Raw genomic sequence first — 20,281 nt, forward strand, 5'->3', positions numbered from 1 at the left:
TAAAACTGCATTTTTTAACCTAAAATATAAACTATTAAGATACATCTGTAGATGGCACTAGAGTTTTGCTTTTTATAGCCTCTCAAGTTTGAATGAGACATTTCCAACTTGAAATGAGGCTTATTGAAAGAATTGCTTGATAAATTTCACGATCATCAAACCACTCTTCCCTGGTTGTGAAATAAAAATGTGAAAATTCCTTAATATGTGCTTTATATTTTGACCTTTAGGTTTGGATTTGGAACAATAGCATTATTTGTACTGTAGGTTTTTAAGTCATGTCTCACTGAAACTATCCCAGACTTGCTTTGAAGAAATCTTAATATACCTTTGATTGTGGAAGTAAAGGGAAATCATTAGCTTTCCTTCAGCATTTCAGAAACATTCATGTTAGACAGTTGCTTTCAAGAAATAGCAGTTAGCCCATTGTTAGGAAAGCTACAATGCTCATTACAAATAATCATTTTTAATATTTTAGCTTTGCAACTCGAAGTGGGAGAACTTTTAAACACCTGCATTTCAAGCTTTATTCCACTTTTGCTAGAATATCTGTATCATTATGGGCCCATCAAAAATCTCAAACCTGTAGGAATTATTTCTGTCTTCTAAACGTGTGTTAACATTGTTCGAAAGTTTTCTTGCTTGTCAACCCCAAATATTCTATATTATTTTTTTAAACCAAATTAATCCCTAGGGAAATGAGGACTTAACCTGCTAAAGCTAGCACAGGTATTACCAGCAAGGATAAAGAATGATAAGTTATAGATGTGATGAAGTCAAGTCTCAAGGCATAGTAGTGGTTTTATACACAATAGGCACATGAGGAAGAAGAAAAGGAAGTGCTGTTATTGAGGAATGAGGTATTTGGCAAGACTTTAAAAACACTGTAAGGATTGGAACTCACTCTTGTAGTTTTTACAGTTTTAACATTAAAACAGTACCTCTGGTATATTTTGAATTGACCATATCACCCAGTGTGTTACCTTCAATATCCTCTCTCTTGGATTACAGCTTTTTGAAAGGAGCTTGGTACTATTGGTGGTGCCACTATTATCAAAATCAGTAGCACGGTCTTTAGATTGTTAAAGTACATACCTAAATCCTTCTAAGTCTTTCAGCTGTATCATAAATTGCTAGCCTGAAGATGAAAAAAGGACAAAGTTAAGGATGGTTGTCTGAAAGCATTGCAGCTTTCCTAACCATGGGTTAAAAAGCAGGTAAATTAAATTGCTGTGTATATATCTCATTTGCTATTATTTTCAAAAGTAGTTATAGATACTCCTTTTAAACTGGAAAGATAGAAGCTTTTTTAGAGTCATACGTTTCACATCCCTGGACTTTTCCTATTGGTTAGTGAAGTTATTACTTAGCTAAAAGACAGTGATGGGAAAACTTTTATAAGGAGATTGGGAATTAAATCCAACCCAAGTACTAATATTTTTATGTTAAGATAGAATAGTGATCTTTATTTGGAAAAAGAAATTTATCTAAAACACATGGTCATTAGTAAGGAAGTCCTTTGAACTTAAAAGTACAGAAAAAGATTCTTTAGCTGAATCAGCGTGACACCATGAACCAGAATATTTTGAGGTTATCTAGGTAAGGTGGCTAATAAACAGTTTGAGAGGCTCCATCATGCTAGTTTTTGAGTTCCATTTTTGTTACTATTGTTGGTTTTTTCTTTTATTTAAAACGATTTGTTGGATAAACAATTCTTCCCAATTTTATATGTGATGTCACGTCTGTGGTGAGGTAGGTAGCTGTAACTTTGATGGATTGTCCGTGATGAAATTATTACCAAGATCTTACCACCCTTCTCAGTGGATAAATTTATTGTTAGTCTATACTTTGTTATTGTTTATAGTATTCAAGACTGACAAAGGCCAGTTGTCTTTTCTTCCTGATGGTTTATTGTCCCCTCCCTCCCCCAGCATTTTCTCATTCATACCAGAGGAGAAATATTTGAGGTCTTAAAGGTATCATTTTAATAGAATATTATTTTCTTTGAAAACTTGCTGTATGTTGAACTTATGGAACGGATAGAGATGGAAAACATGCAAAGTTTCAGAAAATCAGATATTGAAAATTTAATTTAGCCTCATTTTTGACATAGATTTTCTTGTTAAAAAAAGGGATAAAAGTTTTTTGGTGTTCTGTTTTCCAGGTTTATGGTTGGCTGTGGGAGATGTGATGACTGGTTTCATGGTGATTGTGTTGGGTTAAGTCTTTCTCAAGCACAGCAGATGGGCGAGGAAGACAAAGAATATGTCTGTGTAAAATGTTGTGCTGAAGAAGACAAAAAGACTGAAATACTAGATCCAGATACTTTGGAAAACCAAGCTACAGTTGAATTCCATAGTGGAGATAAAACAATGGAGTGTGAAAAGCTTGGATTATCAAAACACACAACAAATGATAGAACCAAATATATAGATGATACAGTGAAGCACAAGGTCAAAATTTTAAAACGGGTGAGCTCTTCATTAATGCATTATTTTGTTTATTTAAGAGCTTTTTGTATGGACTGACTGCAATAATTTTGAAATTTCTCTTTAGAAGTTTTAATGTTCTTTTACATTTTCAAATTTAGTTTTCCATGAAAGTGAATAGGTTTTTATTTAAAATTTTTTGTCAGTCTTGGTGAAATCAGATGGTGACTTTTAGAATATGCAGGCCTTATCTCTTACAGTCTTTTTTGCCATTTCTAGCCCCTAGTTTGGTACTTGAATTTTCTGTTGTAGGATGTGTGTGGATCTTGTGGCCATTAAGTGTAAATTGTGCTTGCTAAGTTGTTTTAAAAAAGCTTTTCAGTCCATAAATATCTACCAGCCCTTTGACCATTTGGCATTATTTTTTTGACTACCTTCTGAAAGTATTTTCTAAATAGAAATTTCAAGATATTTAGGCTTTAATAGGAGAAATGTATAAAGGACACGGCATTTTATCTGATTAAATTTTCTTTCCTCATTGTCTACCTTTTTATTACCTATCACTTTTTTAGTCGTTAATTTGTTATTCTTATAGAATACTGATAGAGAGGAGAAACAGTGGCAACACATGTATGTGGTTAGGCAAGTATAATCCAAAACGCAAAGAACATGAATCTTAGAGTTGGAGCTTTAGAAATCTTTTGGTCCAATCATTTTGATTTATTAATATGCCTTACAACATTTCTAGGAAGTGATGATCTAGTTTCTGTTTGAAATCCATTGCAAGGGGATACATCTTCATTTTTAAGCATCTAATTGTCAGAAAGTTGATCAGTTTGAGCTGAAATTTGCATCCCTGAATTGAAGCCTCCTTATTAAAACTTAATTTCTCTGCAACACGATATGGAAGTTAATTTAGATTGAAGAGCATGAGGATGTGTTCTCCAGAATCTTACCTATTAACAAATCCGTTTCTTTCAGGCATTCCTTGTACGACAAATCTGGATTAAGTTCTAGTTTGTCATATCCTTGTGGCATCTAATATTTTTTGTCTGTCAAGACTTTTTGAAAATCAGATTCTGTCCTTCTGATACGTGTTATTACTTTGTTGATTTGATCATCAAAGTAATTGATAATATGGATCTGAGAGCCACAATGAGAACAGTTTATAGCATGTCTTTGGAAAACTTCTATTTATTATTAACTAGTATTAATAATCACCTCTTACGTACAGCTTCTTGGCCATATACATATGCAGTACAATGAGAAATATAGCTCATTGTATTGACCATAGCTGAGTTGTCTCTGTCTTGCTTAAAAAGACATCATAAAGGCTGAGTGCAGTGGCTCACACCTGTAATCCTAGCACTTTGGGAGGCTGAGGTGGGCGGATCGCCTGAGGCCAGGAGTTTGAGACCAGCCTGGGCAACATGGTGAAACCCCGTCTCTACTAAAATACAAAAATTAGCCGAGCATGGTGGTGCATGCCTGTAATCCCAGCTGCTTGGGAGGCTGAGGCAGGAGAATCGCTTGAACCTGACGGAGGTTGTAGTGAGCTGGGATTGTGCCACTTTATTCCAGCTTGGGCAAAAGAGTGAAACTCCGTCTCATAAATAAATGAAAAGACATCATAAAACGTTAACAATTTTAACATTTTGAGAACCTCTTTATCCAGTCTGTATCAGAAAAGAATCTGAGGTGAGTCTGATTTTGTAAATGTGTGCACCATACAAGTGATCACTGCTTCCTTTTCTTTTTGATGTGAACTGTTGACTCTCTCTTGGACTTGTCTGATGTTAGTTTATGGAATCTGCTTTTCTTATCCCTAGATTTTTATGTTGAACTATTTATTGAGTTTCTGTTGTGTGGCATAGCACTACGTGCCTTGGGTGTATAATATTGAAGTATATTCCTGCTCTCAAGAATGTCTAGTTGCAGACAAAAACCAGACAAATAAATAAAAAATTAGAGGATTCTTAGTCTAGAGAAAAGCACTATTTTGATTGTACCCTATTTTAAAACCTGAGTATATGTCTGACTATATAGCGTTCCTCTCCCTGTCTTTCAGGAACATTAGTAGGATGTGATTAATTTCTCCCAAGGATCTCAGAATTCCAGTTTTACTGGTAATTCTTTGTGGATTATAATTAGAACCAGAGTAGCAGGTACTCTGATGGTTTATTCTACCTCATGGGAATTAAAATTGCCAATAGGCATACTGAGAACTTAATTGATACACTTGCTAGTATATAAGTGAACTTAATTTCATTTGTTTTAGAATATAGATACTTGTTTCTTTACAATTTCCTCCTTTTTCCATATCCAGAGCCAAATAAGAGAATTCTTACTACCTTATTTTTAATTTTCTTTCTACTAATGGTATTGGGAACATGATCTCTATGTCCTTTGTTTCTCCTTTATAAGCTATTATGTGTTCTACACAAAATAGGTGCAGAATAGATTTCGAATGAAAGAGTGAATCTCATTTTACTAATAATCAAGAGTTATTTTTGTACGTCTTAAAAAACAAAGATTGTTTAGTTATTTTCATTCTAATGAATTAAGTACTCATTTTCCAGGAGTCTGGTGAAGGCAGAAATTCATCAGACTGTAGAGATAATGAAATTAAAAAATGGCAGCTAGCTCCTCTTCGTAAGATGGGACAACCAGTTTTACCTCGGAGATCCTCAGAAGAAAAAAGTGAAAAAATACCGAAAGAGTCTACAACTGTTACTTGCACAGGAGAAAAAGCTTCAAAACCAGGTAGTGAGATGAACAGAAAAAATTATATACTAATATATTTATATCTTATTTAAGATACAATTAATTAGTATACTTAGGGAATTTTTACAAATTTAACATTATTAAATGTTGTATTGCCATTAAGGCAATACAAATGGGTTAGGTGATTGGCCTTACTTGTAATTAAAAACTTGCTCTAAATTCTGGGGAAGCGCTAGTGAAATTAAGATAAGACCCCTCTTCTCATGGCACTTAAATACTAATGGAAGAAGGCAGTAAGTTTGCAAGTAAGAAAATTGCATGTTATTTTACAGCTTGAGAAGAAAAAGTGGAGTAATGGGATGGATAGTCACAGGTGGGAAGAGTAATGGGACTTCTGTTTTACATGGAATGGAGGAAGTAACTTGTGAGGTGGGATTTGAAGGGGTGCAAAGATTTTTGGAGGAGGTACTAGGTAAGGGACACATCAAATCTTAAGGCTTTGTGGTAGAAAGAAGTGTGGCATTTGAGGAGCAAGAAAGCCACTGTAGAGTGATTAGAAGGTAATACATAAAGGGATAGAACAGTGTTAGAAGATGAGTTCAGAGAAAATTATTGCTCGTACCCTATTTTAAAACCTGAGTATATGTCTATCTGTATAGCGTTCCTCTCCCTGTCTTTCAGGAACATTATTAGTAGGATGTGATTAATTTCTCCCAAGGATCCCAGAATTCCAGTTTTACTAGTAATTCTTTGTGGATTGTAATTAGAACAAGAGTAGCAGGTACTCTGATGGTTTATTCTACCTCATGGGACCTTTGGGGCTATGGCAGAGTTTATATTTTGTTCTGAATGTTGTGGGAAACCTTTAGAGGGTTTTGTGCAAGGGAAAACTCTGGTTGCTCTGTACAGTTTGGATTGTAGGAAGGCAGGAGAGAAAGAGAGTAGCCTGATTAGTCCGTAGCAATATCCTAGGAAAGAAATGATGGTAGCTTGGAATGGAAATAGAATGAAGGTAGTGAGTAGTAGTCAGATTCACATATGTTTTATAATAGAGTTGACAGAACTTGCTGATGGGTTAGATATAGGTTGGTATTGGTGAAGGAAATAGAGTCTGAGAAAAGAAAAAGGTTTGGGGAAGAAAATTGAAAAATTATGTTTTGGCCATTATGAGATTCCTATTAGACATCGAGATGGAAATGTTTTGAGTAAATCTTTGGCTGATGAGTCTGGAGCCTATTAGAAGACTTTGGAGGTTGGTATATAAATTTGGGATTTACTAGTGCATAGCAGTTAGTACAGGTTAAACATCCCAAATCTAAAATCTGAAACTTGAATGCTGGCATGATGCACAAAGGCAATGCTTGTTGGAGCATTGTGGATTTCAGATTTTCTGATTTGGGATGCTCCACTGGTAAGTACAATGCAAATATTCCAAGATTTGAAAAAATCTGAAATTGAAAATACTCTGGTCTCAAGCATTTCATATAAGGGCATACTCAACCTGTATTTAAAATCATGGGCTTAGATATAAATAGCTACAGGAGAGTTTGACAATGAAGGGACAGAAGCAGAGCCCTTGGGAAGCACCAGCATTTATTTTTACTTTATTTTTGTGACAGGGTCTCACTCTGTCACCCAGGCTTGAGTGCAGTAGTGCAATAGCAGCTCACTACAGCCTTGAACTCCTGGGCTCAAGCTATCCTCTCGCCTCAACCTCCTGAGTGGCTGGACTACAGGTGTGCACCACCACACCCAGCTAATTTTTTGATTTTTTGTAGAGATGGTGTTTCGTTATGTTGGCCAGGCTGGTCTCAAACTCCTGGCCTTCAAGTGATCTTCCTGCTTTGGCCTCTCAAGGTGCTGGGATTACAGGCATGAGCCATTGAACCTGGCCATCAGCATTTAAGAGTTGGGGAGAGAAGAGGTTATACAGCAAAGGAAACTAATGGGTGGCCTGTGAGGAAAGAGGAGAACTGAGACTGGTGGCCTGGAAGCCAGGTGAAGTTTCAAGAAGGAAGGAATGACCAAATGCTGTCTGGACATTTAGTAAGATTAACACAAGATTGTTAAGTCTATGACTTAGCAAAATGGAAATCACTGGTGACCTTGACTAGAATGGTTTCGGTGGAGCAGTAGGGAAAAAAACCAGTTGTAGTGGCTTATGAATGAATGGAAGAGTGAGGAACTGGAGACGTTGATTACAGATAACTCTCAGGGAGTTTTGCTGTTTAAAGAAACAAATGCCGTAGTAGTTAGAAGTGGATGTGAATTTTTTTTTTAAAGAAGATATCATAGCATGTTTGTAAGACTAATGGGAATGATCCAATAGAAAGAGACGGCTAGAGAGAGATGATGTTGATGATGTAAGAGAGAGAAGTGATAGTGTAGGTGTGAAACTCGGGAAGACAAGAGGGGATGGGATTCACTCCACATGGAGGGAGGTATTTATCAGAAAGGTAAAGCTCATCCATTGGATAGTAGGGAAGGTTGTATGTGGTAGGGGGAAGAACTAATGTAGGTAGGTTGGATTTGGTAATGGGAAAATGATAGTTGACAGTTTTTCCATTTTTTTTCAGTGAAATATGAAGAGCAAATCAAAAAGATTGTAGTTGAGAAGGAGGTATTGTTGGTTTGAGATGAGAGGAGAAAAAGTATGAAATAGATATCTTAAAAAGTGGGAGAGCAAATTTATTAGGAAAAGTTAATAGGATTAGGGCAGAAGGTTGAGTTACCTACTTAAAACTTGTGGTTATAAATTTAAAATGACATCTGTCAGTACCAGTGCTTATTTTTCTCCCTTGTCTTCAGCCGTTTGTTGCCTATTTGGGTGAAGGATAAAAGTTGGCTTTGAGCAGGGTTGTGGTTTTGCCAACACACATGTTTAAAAGAGAGAGAATAAAGATATTAAGTATACGAGGGGCTGGTAATGGTATTAGACTGTCTAATCTAAGTTTATAATGTATGAAAAGTGAATACATGAAGATGGTAAAAATCATAGATTTAAGAATTGTTGGCATGAGGAGATTCTAGAATAAATGTGCTGGTATAATAAGTCAGAGCAGTGGGATGTTTGACATTGAGATTTTGGAGATGCTTGGGAATTAGTAATGATAGAATAAAAATAATTTGAAAAGCTTAACATTCAAATTAGTAAAACCAGAAGAGATTCATCAATTTTGTGGTATTAGGTTATCTGCTCCTAATAAGTTCAGATCAAAATTTCTGAAAACTTTTTAAAAGTTAATTAATATATATGTGTGGAAAAATAACTAGCTCTAAAAGCCATTGTCTAAATTGAGGAAAGAGTAGGACCAGTTTTTAGTCACTATTCATTTTAATTAGGATTTCAGTGTCAGGAATATTTCAATATGGATTGTGGGTTCTGATCTTATTTCTAAATAGTGACTTTTAATCAGTTTTGTTTGTAAACTTATTCATTAAAAAGGAAAGATATTTTTAAAAGCAATGTAATGAGTTTCGATATTTATTCAAATTAGGTACTCATGAGAAGCAAGAGATGAAAAAGAAGAAAGTTGAAAAAGGAGTGCTTAATGTACATCCTGCTGCTTCTGCTTCCAAGCCTTCTGCAGATCAGATCAGGCAAAGTGTCAGACATTCTCTCAAAGACATTCTTATGAAGAGGTAACATATATTTTTATTATAGAAGTATCAATAATTATGCTTTATACATTTGAAAAATAATTGAATTGTTCTAATTTTAAGACTTACAGACTCAAATTTGAAGGTACCAGAGGAAAAGGCAGCAAAAGTTGCCACAAAAATTGAGAAAGAGCTTTTCTCTTTTTTTCGGGACACAGATGCTAAATATAAGAACAAATATAGAAGTTTGATGTTTAATTTGAAAGATCCTAAAAACAATGTAAGTATGCTTTGTTCATATGTTTATGCTTCCAACTTTCCTGAGTACATAGGTATCTCAGATTGTAATACAGTAGATCTATAATTTATTAATTGGAGTGAGATTATAATTTGCTTTTGATGTAGAACATGTAATTTTAATAGTCTTTTTGCTACTGAATAATTCTGCATACTAATAGCATTAACCATTCAGTCTACTGAAATGCTAAACGTGTCTTAACCTGATTTATATTATTTTTTCTTTACTCTCCTTTATATAATACAATTTATTAAAAAATTCATTCATATGTATTCTTCAAAAACTTTTAAGCTAAAATTTATAACACTATTTTTTTCTTAAATCTGAAAATAGAGCTATTTTGTACTTAAATCTGAAGATAGAGTAAAAATGCTTTTAAATTGTTTTTATCGAAATGTAATTTATTTTCTTAAGAAAATACATAACTTTAGTTCTAAAGATAGTCTTAAATATAACTTTAGTTCCAAGTATTATAGCAGTAGAGTAAATGTTAATTAAACCCCTAATTTTTTCTTGGGATTTCATGTTTTGGACAGAGGAAATCTAAAGGCTGTGCATGTGTGTGCGTGTATGTGTCAGTGTTAGCTCTCAACACCAAAAGTAGGTCTCTGATAAGTACAATAAGCAAAAATCATGCCAGCGAACATTTTAAAGGTTCAGAACATGACTGATCTCTTGTGTGTGACATTTACCTAGGTCCACCAGCAGTTTTTTGCTATAGATTACTCTAGGTAACAGAATGTGATTAGATGCAACCTTTTTGCATAAAAGGTTTTCACACAACTGATATAAATTTGTATAAGGATATTTGCTACAGTAGGTGATTTGAGGTATTTTCTTGAAGTACACTAACAGAGACTTAAAATTGTACATTCTGCCATCATGGTCCCGAGGATCAGATGCTTCTGGAATTACATAATCTGGAAGCTTTTCTTCAGCAATTAAATAAAGATTTATTTCCCTCAGGTTTTTTTATCTTTTTTTTGGAGACAGAGTCTTGCCCTGTCGCCCAGGTTGGAGTGCAGTGGCGCCATCTCAGCTCACTGCAGCCTCCACTCCCGGGTTCAGATGATTGTCCTGCCTCAGCCTCCCGAGTAGCTGGGATTACAGGCACACGCCGCCACGCCCAGCTAATTTTTGTATTTTTAGTAGAGACGGGGTTTCACCATTTTGGCCAGGCTGGTCCCAAACTCCTGACCTTGTGATCCTCCTGACTTGCCCTCCCAAAGTGCTGGCATTACAGGCGTGAGCTGCGGCACCCGGCCTCCCTCAGGTTTCTTTCAGGTTTCTTTCTTGCAGGTGGTTTTTTGCTCTGCAGTTTCCTCCAAGCCTGTCAGGATTTAAATATGTAAAATCTTAAAACTATGAAGACCATTACATTGAGTAAAGCTCTTTGATGCAGTACCTCGCTATACTATAGATTGCTTATTGTTATGGTTATATTGTGTCCCTGGGTAGACTTAATACAACTTTTGGGTAGGTATTGTAATGGTTCTACTGTACATGCTTCTCCATATATGTTGATTTTTATATGAAATGTGTGTTTTGCTGCCTTAAATTCCTAGAACACAAAGCTGTCATTTAATCTCTGTGTAGTAGGTAATATATAAATAATTAAGTATTTGTAAATCAGTCTTCAAAAATTGTATCTTTATTATAAATTTCTGTGTAGTAGCCACTCAAAATGTTTGTCTCCCCTTCTATTCCTATTTTAAAATCCTTCCAGATATTATTTAAAAAAGTACTGAAAGGAGAAGTAACTCCTGATCATCTTATCAGAATGAGTCCAGAAGAACTAGCTTCTAAAGAGTTAGCTGCTTGGAGACGAAGAGAAAACAGACATGTAAGATTATCTATAAATATGCATTTGACTATCAAAATCTATGTTTTTCAGCCATTGGGTAAAAATTATACAGAGGTAAATTCAACACAGACTGCATAATAACACAGACTTTCTGTTACATGCTTCTTTTTTTTTTGAGATGGCGTCTAGCTCATTCGCCAGGCTGGAGTGCAGCAGCATGATCTCAGCTCACTGCAACCTCTGCCTCCTGGGTTCAAGTGATTCTCCTGCCTCAGCCTCCCAAGTAGCTGGGATTACAGGCACGTGCTGCCACGCCCAGTTAATTTTTGTATTTTTAGTAGAGGTGGGGTTTTACCTCTTAAACCAGGATGGTCTCGATCTCCTGACCTCATGATCCGCCCACCTCAGCCTCCCAAAGTGTGGGGATTACAGGCATGAGCCACCTACATGCTTCTTTTAATTACTTGTTCTCCATTCCTCTAGTTCTTAAATTCTGTTGGTTTCTCTGATCTTGTCAGGTTTTTTTCTCATTTTCTCCAGTTACTAGGTTACAGAATTACCTTGTGTTTTATTATAGTTTGTAAATGAGAAGGATGGGAAAAGAATTAACATCTTTTCATAATTACATCTGTATTTTTCAGCAGCACAGTTTGAAGGTATTATGAATATTGGTAATTTGTAGAGCCAGATGAATTAAGTCAGAATAAAAATGTGTACAGGCTTATCTCTTATCCAAAGTTTCAAATGCCAAAAGCCCTGAAAAATAAAGTTATTTTCGCATAACTAATTTATTGATAAAGCTTAACCTGAATTGCCATGTATGAATGTTCATATTCACAGAAATATTGTATATTTAATTACGTGTCTCAGACCTAACTGGAATGTTATGTAATATAGAGTGTGTGCACCATATTTCATGTTTAAATTTAAAAATTCTGAAACTCACAGATAGCAAGAATTTTTGTTTGGAGATTGTGAACTTAAAGGTATTTAAAGTACCTTTAAAAATTAAGTATGTTACTTAGAGCCATTGTGACAGTGAGATAGCCATGTTATCCAATTTTTGTATTACAATGGCATCAGAATGTTAGCCCCTTATTCTAGAAAATACTGGTTGTAGTTCATATTAACTCTACATGATTTATCTGATTCTTTTGTTCATAATATTTAGTTACATCTCAGGCACTAAACCTCCATATAGACCTATGCCAGATCTAGTTTGAAGCTCATCTAGAGGCCTTGATTTGACATATCATACTTCTTCATACATTCCTTTACCTTCACCGTATGTAATTTCTCCTCCTCTTATATTTTGAAAATAATATCACCTCCTCTTCCTTCCCTCCATATCTCAAATATGCACATGCCACTCTTCTGCTTTGAAACTGGCTGCGAGTAACATCTGTATCAGAAAATGCCAGCTTGTTCTTTCTTAAGGCCATGTACCTGATTTTTCTTTAAAGGATGATTTGTACTTAACAAAGGCAGTACCATCTATGCCTTCCTTACCTGTTCTATTCCTGGCTACCTTTATACTACTACTTGTTATACTTGCTTAATTTTGATGTTTTGTTGCTAAGCTTGTTCAACCGAATTTTCAGGGTCACTAAGCAGGCTTAGTTAGGAGACAGCTAACAAAGGACTACCAGATCGGTCATTTGAATAAACTACTATTGTGGGGGATGTTAGAACATTGAATTAGGAATTTAAGAGCAAAATAGTTCCTATTTCCCTGTGGCAGCTGCTAAAAAGTACTAAATCAGCAAACAGATTTCAAATACAAATAGTATGTTTCACCACTTTGCAAATTACTTTGGACTTCATTTGCCTCCTGATATAAATGTACATGTGAACTTCTCATGGTTGAGGTACGGGGTCTAATTCTTATAACCGCAGTACTTAAAACTGTCTCTGGCATATAAAAGTACTCAGAATATGTTTGTTATATGAGACATTACCTTAAGATTAAAAGTCATCTGTGGTGATTTGTTTATTTTTAGGTAAGCTCTTATTATTTAAGGTGTACACTTGGAAATACATATTTTAAATTTAATATTTTTAAAAAAGTATTTTCTGTTAGACCATAGAAATGATTGAGAAAGAGCAGAGAGAAGTGGAACGACGGCCAATCACCAAAATAACTCATAAAGGTGAAATAGAAATTGAGAGTGATGCCCCAATGAAAGAACAGGAAGCAGCCATGGAGATTCAGGTAAGGATAGATATGCCATGTTTTATAGCTCAAAACATGAAGATTCAGAAAAGGTTTATTTGCCTAATGTTTTTAAAGTAGAGAAAAGAATTTTAAAATATGCATCCATTTAAAAGTAGCCTATTTTATTGGTTTAGTGGTTTTTTGAGTGTTGAGTAATGTCTCTCAAATTGCATTATAGGTACCTGTTGAACAGTTATTACAGTGTAGATTCCTGGAGTGCTCTGACTTAGTGAATTTCTTTTTATTTTTTGGTGGGATAGAGTCTTGCTTTGTTGCCCAGGCTGGAGTGCAGTGGAGCAATCTCGGCTCACTGCAACCTCCGCCTCCCAGGTTCAAGCGATGCTGCCACCTCAGCCTCCCAAGTAGTTGGGATTACAGGCATGCGCCAATACACCCAGCTAATTTTTGTATTTTTAGTAGAGACAGAGTTTCACCATGTTGGCCAGGCTGGTCTTAAACTCCTGACCTCAAGTGATCTGCCCACCTCGGCCTCCCAAAGTGTGGGGATCACAGGTGTGAGCCACCGTGCCTGGCCTGACTTAGTGAATTTTTTAGTAGGCTTAGAAATTTGTAAGTGTTTCTTAGGCAGAGTGTCATTTGATAGGTGGCATAGCTTTTCTTATTTTCAAAAGTCAGTGAAGAAATAATTTGAAATCTTACTAGAAGGCTTGAAGAATGGGGAATGTTTTAATTTTTGCTCTTTTAAGTCACAGTTAAAAGCTAGCATTCATTTTCTTAAGAAATAGTAAAAAAAAACCAAAAAACAAAAATCAAAAACTTATCTATGGAACAACTGCATTTTAGGAAAATATAAATGGAAAATATAAATTGATTTTGATAATTGAGGCCAAATTTTATCAGCTAAAACTAATTTTTACTTTGACTTACGTTAGGAACCAGCCGCCAATAAGTCATTGGAGAAGCCAGAAGGATCTGAAAAACAAAAAGAGGAGGTTGACTCTATGTCTAAAGATACCACTAGTCAACACAGACAGCATCTTTTTGATCTCAACTGCAAAATCTGCATAGGTAATTGGAAGTTTTTCTTCGTAAAATTTTGCATTCATTATGAAAGAAGGATACTTAGATACTAGTATATGTAATTTAAGTAGGTTTTGTTTTCCCAATATTGGTGGTGAGGCACTCACTCACAGTCTTTAAGCTTTCGTGTGACTGGTTTTCTGGGTTGAGGTATAGTTTGATACTGTGGTATAGTCTACTGTCTAGACCTAATTATACTATATATGATTTGAACTTAAAAACTGTTCTTGCTGGAGTCAAATGACAAGAATTTAACCATTAGAATGAACATCAAACATTGTGGGCAGTTGTGATGATACTGTCATTTACTAAAGTAAAGGAGTAAAATAGCATTTATATTTTATTATATATAACATAAGACAAATCAGAAACTGAAATTACTTTTTTGTAAAAAAGCTTTTTATTTTTAAGAGCACTTTTAGGTTCATAGCAAAATTGGGAGGAAGTTACAGAGATTTCTCACATACCTGCTGCCTCCCTACGTGCATAGTCTCCACTGTTAGCAACATCCCACACCAGAGTGGTGCAGTTACTACAGTTGACAAACCTACATTGAAAAATAATGACCCCAAATCCATAGTTTACATTGGCGTTCACTCTTAGAGTTGTTCATTCTGTGGGTATGGACAAATGTGTAAAGACGTGAATCTAGCATTATAGTATTATACAGAGTATTTTCACTGCCCTAAAAATCCTCTTTACTCTGTCTATTCATCCCTTCCCCCAACACCCCCACCAGCCCCTGGAAACCACTGATCTTTTCATTGTCTCTGTAGTTTTGCTTTTTTCAGAATATTGTGTAATTGGAATCATCTAGTATGTAACATTTTCAGATTGGCTACTTTCACTTAGTAATATGCATTTAAGCTTCCCCTATGTCTTTTCATGGCTGGATAACTCATTTCTTTGTAGCATTGAATAATATTCCATTGTCTGGATGTATAGTTTTTCCATTCACTTAATGTAGGAGATCTTGTTTTATTACAAGTTTTGGCAATTACGAATAAAACTAGTATAAACATTTGTATGCAGCTTTTTGTGTGGATGTGTTTTCAGCTCCTTTGGGTAAATACCATGGAGCACAATTGCTGGATTGTATGGTAAGAGTATGTTTATCTTATAAGAAACCTCCAAACTATTTTTCACAGAGGCTGAGCCATTTTGCCTTCCTGCCAGCAACGAATCAGAGTTCATTTTGCCTTCCCGCCAGCAATGAATGAGAGTTCCTGTTGCTCTACATCTTTGCTAGCATTTGGTATTGTCAGTATTCTAGATTTTGGCCATTCTAATAGGTGTATAGTGGTATCTCTCTGTTGTTTTACTTTGCATTTTCCTGATGACATATGTGGAGCATCTTTTCATGCTTATATGCCACCTGTATAGCTTCTCTGGTGAGGTGTCTCTTCAGGCATGTATAGTCATGAGCTGTTGCTATATAATCCAAACCTGGATACAGATAATACAGATTTGTCTTAGTTCTTCATGTTACTTCTCGAGACTATTGGAATTTGGTAAAATTGTCAGAGAATTAAGAAACCTGTTTTAGGTTCTAGTAATAATATTTTCATTTTAGCTTGTCTGAGTTGTTTAACATTCTCTTCTTCTAATTTTTCACTTCACTAAGAGAGGAATTACTACCTTAGGGGTCCTCAACCCCCGGGCCACAAACCTGTACGGTCCATGGCCTATTAGGAACTGGGCCTCACAGCAGGAGGTGAGCGGTGGACGATACTGCCTGAGCTCCGCCTCCTGTCAGATGCAGTGGCGTTAGGTTCTCATAGGGGTGCAAACCCTATTGTGAACTGCACATGTGAAGGATCTAGGTTGCGTGCTCCTTATGAGAATCTAACTATTAATGCTTGATGATCTGAGGTGTAATGGTTTCATCCTGAAACCATCTCTCCCCTCATCCCACCGTCCATGGGAAAATTGTCTTCCATGAAATTGGTTGCTGGTGATAAAAAGGTTGGGGACTGCTAATCTTGTCCATATTTACTCATGATATGTTTTACATGTAGGAAATAATTATAAAGAGATTTTAAGGGGAAATTAACTTTATTACAGGTAGAACCATGCATGATTTGCTTTGAATTGCATTTCAGATAAGCTTAGGTCCCTGTATATAGAAGAGGGCTGGCAGTGGGGAGAACACTAGTGAATTTTCTGCTGATTCTTAAATGTGGTTGTGATACAACTAAATGATGACAGTTAGATATAACCCCAGGAAATGTATGGTTACTCAGCAATTGAATCATAGAACCTGAATAACTTTAGAAAGTGAAAATGGGTTAAGTTATAAAAGTTGTAGTTAACAGTTGGTTTCTTTTGATGTATTCTGGGCTTAGGTCGAATGGCACCACCTGTAGATGATCTTTCTCCAAAAAAAGTAAAAGTTGTTGTAGGAGTAGCTCGCAAACATTCAGACAATGAAGCAGAAAGTATAGCAGATGCATTATCTTCAACCTCAAATATTTTGGCTTCTGAATTCTTTGAGGAGGAGAAACAGGAGTCTCCAAAGTCAACGTTCTCTCCTGCTCCACGGTAATTTTCTCTGTTGTAAATTCTGTAATACTCATTATAGATCTTTGCCAGATTATACTTGCAAGTCTTCAAAAACAGAAAAGTGACATTTTGGGAACCTCTCATTTGAGAAAATAACTGTACTTTCCTGTACTTTGAGATAAAACAAGACTTCGAAAATAAATATATTTGGAGTGTTTTCAGTGAGAGATTGGAGCGTGTGGGGAAACAGCTTTAAAATTCTCTTTAATTATGCTGGTCCCAAAAGTCAGGGATAGATTATTAAAGACGAAATGTTTGCACTTTTCTCAATCTTAGTTCTCCTAAGCCAGCCAAGAGGGAAGATTTTGTAAAACATTACTATGTAAATATGAATGTAATTTTATAAAATGAAAGTGTGAACTCTTTGTCAATAGCCTCATATTTTGGCCTTCTTCACATGCTAAAATACGAGTAACTGATGACTAGGTAGGACATTGATTTATTCATCAGCTTGTCTTTAGGCTTTTTAATGTCATTTTCTAGTCCAGAGATGCCTGGAACTGTTGAAGTTGAGTCTACCTTTCTGGCTCGATTGAACTTCATCTGGAAAGGTTTTATCAACATGCCTTCTGTGGCAAAATTTGTTACCAAAGCCTATCCAGTATCTGGCTCCCCAGAATACCTGACAGAGGTACTGTGAACTTTTCTGCTTTTCTGTGCATGAATTGATAATGTGTGTTTCTGAAAGTAATTGACAGGGAAATAAGACAGAGTTAGTAATAGAAATATTTATTAACAATGATTTTTAAACAGTCCAAGTAATATAATTATGAATTAACAAATGGATCTTTAGAATTGTAAAATAAACTATTCTCTGAAAGTTTTAAACTCCTATGTCCTGCACTTTTCCCAAGATGTACTGCCTCACTGTGTCAGATAATTCAAAATCAATGAGAGTCTACATGGATATCCAAGTTTTTCTTTGAATACACACTTAAATAAAAGATTTACATACTTTTGGTCTTTAATGTTAACACATTAAGAATTTTTTGTTAAACAGATCTTCTGATTTCCCCACTGCTTATGTTTCCCCATCTTCATGACTACTGTTCTTACCTGCCTATTTCTGTGAATGTGGTTTATGTAGACTGGGAGTTGAAGCTTTACAGCTAGTTGAAAACCAGTGAGACTAGTGACTGTAGTTGCTGCAAGTGATACCCTTGGTTGGTTCTACACCTGAGGGAAATAGAAAGAAACTATTATGTGGTATTTATGGAAAATAAGCAGCAGTAACATTATAATATTGTGATAAATGAGACAGTGACATTTTTGAATTATTTTGAAGGAAATGTATTTTTATATGTGTATAGAAGGAAAATAAATCAGTACATATATACTGTATTTATGTTGAGATCATATTTTGCTATCTTGTTCGTATCTGACCTTTTTCATTTATTCTCTATCTGCTGATTTTAAAGAATTAAAAGATTGTAAAAAAATTCCTTTTATTATTTGAAAAAGCCTAAATCATTTGCCTGTCTTTTTTTTTTTTTTAAGGCTAACATAAACTTCACTTTTCTTTGGATTAGGCTGCAATTAGTTTAATTCAATGTAATACTGTTTATGTAATATTGATCAGTTTATTTGGTTAGCAGTTGTGGGTTTGTTTTTGTTTTTGTTTTTGTTTTTGTTTTTGTTTTGAGACAGAGTCTGCCCTGTCGCCCTGGCTGGAGTGCAGTGGCGTGATCTTGGCTTGCTGCAATGTCTGCCTCCCGGGTTCAACCATTCTCCTGTCTCAGCCTCCCATGTAGCTGGGATTAACAGATGTGTGCTACCACACCTGGCTAATTTTTGTATTTTTAGTAGAAACGGGGCTTCACCATGTTAGCCAGGCCGGTTCTGAACTACTGCCCTCAAGTGATCTGCTTGCCTCTGCCTCCCAGAATACTGGGATTACAGATGTGAGCCACCGGGCCCAGCCTAGCAGTGTGTTTTCGATTAATAAACAGACTAATCACTTTTATATACAGTTTGCTTGATATTTTAAAAATGTGAGCTTTATAAGAGAAAAATGAATTAGATCCATGATGTTCTTCTTGAGCAAATCTGTTTAGAAATTTATTATTTGGTCAGTCCATGGTGAAGATAATTCTTTAAACGGAGAGGTAAGCCCTTAACTACAAAATCCTTTTGATTTTAAACAAGATTATTATTTTCCCCTCCGAGACACAGTTTTTATGTGGTTGCTTTCCAGATTTTCACTTCCGTTTTGTACTTGTTTTTAGTTTGGACTGAAATCCCAAATCAAATATTTTAAAGTAGTTAATAATTTAAATAAACTAAATTGAATTTAATATCAATTATGTTTTTATGATTTTCCTCAGTCTTCGTGGAAAAAATAGGAATGTACTGAATAAAGTTTTAAATATTCTTAATTGCTTTCATGTGTAGTCATCTGTTTTCAGAAAGATTATGCCTTTAAAAAAATAAACCTTGAATTATTACAATATTATTCTCCTTTGTGCAAAAATACACTCTGTAATTACATTTGGTAACCTTTGAAATTCAGCTGTTAATTATTAAGGAATTTTCCTGCCTACTGCTACCAAAAGGGGAGGTTACAATCTCTGCTAATATTCTGAAATGTGTTGTGTTCTTTCTGAATTGTTAATGTGGTATGCTTGCCATTGCTTCCCTTTCCCATCTTTCATAGTGAGATTGGGCATGAACTCAGACTCTTTCTTAGTAGCTGTATTTTAGGCAACAGTCATTTGTAGTTGGCATTTCAAGTAAAACCTAATTGCTCTCTGTATTCTGTTTTCCGATGCATTTTTCATAATCTCTTTATTTACTTGTTTTTATTACTGTTTCAAATTAGTCTTAGAATCAAATTTGTATGAATTACTAATGTCATAATAAAGATAATCTATATATATTGATCTCTTTTTTTTTTTTTTAACCATAGGACCTACCAGATAGTATTCAAGTAGGTGGCAGGATATCACCTCAGACAGTTTGGGATTATGTGGAAAAAATAAAAGCATCAGGAACCAAGGTGAGGAAAACTTTTTTCACTATACCAGCATGGGAAAATGTTTAGAAAGTAAACAGTTTAGAATTCTTATGCAAGGGTGCAAAGTCTCCTGGGGAAAGGAGGCAATACACATTTTAAGTCTATGTAATATACCTCACAAAACTGAACAAAAGCCATTTGCTGAGGCTGTCAACAGTACAGCATTTTTTTTTTTTCCTCTCCTGGGATGCTCTCTTTGTGGCTTCTGTTAATGTTTTAGAAGAAATGTTTTAGAGTAAGTATTGAAATTCACCCTGGAATTTTGCCTTGCTTCTATTACAGACAAGTGTTTGAGTTAGGGCACAGCTAAGCTATTGCAAAAAAGAGAATCTAAAATATAGTGACTCAAAAAATACAGAAGTTGATTGGAGTGTTGTCCTCAGCAGTCAAACATACCAAATAGGAGTAAATGAGGAATACCTGTCTAGTTGTTTGAAAGGCAAATTGCAGTCATTAACTTCCATTGGAAAGAACCTAGTCACATAGCCATCCATACATAGCTGCTAGGGAGGCTGGGAAATGTAATCTTTATTGGATGGCCATGTGCCCAGCTAAAAGTTAAGGGCTTCTTATTAGTAATAGGAGGAAAGGAGAA

The 20,281-nt window shown here is 35.3% G+C and overlaps 1 protein-coding gene across 9 annotated transcripts in view; it reads left to right on the top strand.

The window, feature by feature from the left end:
• Positions 1-20,281, top strand: part of PHF3 (PHD finger protein 3) — a 90,210-nt gene that overhangs the window by 53,771 nt on the left and 16,158 nt on the right. For all 9 annotated transcript variants that reach the window (NM_001290259.2, NM_001370348.2, NM_001370350.2 and 6 more), the window contains 10 exons: positions 2,165-2,471; positions 5,009-5,192; positions 8,651-8,795; positions 8,877-9,033; positions 10,778-10,894; positions 12,936-13,067; positions 13,964-14,099; positions 16,457-16,652; positions 17,157-17,304; positions 19,579-19,668. In NM_001290259.2, the coding sequence (NP_001277188.1) occupies positions 2,165-2,471; positions 5,009-5,192; positions 8,651-8,795; positions 8,877-9,033; positions 10,778-10,894; positions 12,936-13,067; positions 13,964-14,099; positions 16,457-16,652; positions 17,157-17,304; positions 19,579-19,668 (1,612 nt within the window). The remainder of the gene's footprint in view (positions 1-2,164; positions 2,472-5,008; positions 5,193-8,650; positions 8,796-8,876; positions 9,034-10,777; positions 10,895-12,935; positions 13,068-13,963; positions 14,100-16,456; positions 16,653-17,156; positions 17,305-19,578; positions 19,669-20,281) is intronic.

Source organism: Homo sapiens, chromosome 6 (assembly GCF_000001405.40).
Source record: "Homo sapiens chromosome 6, GRCh38.p14 Primary Assembly".
Classification (NCBI taxonomy): domain Eukaryota; kingdom Metazoa; phylum Chordata; class Mammalia; order Primates; family Hominidae; genus Homo; species Homo sapiens.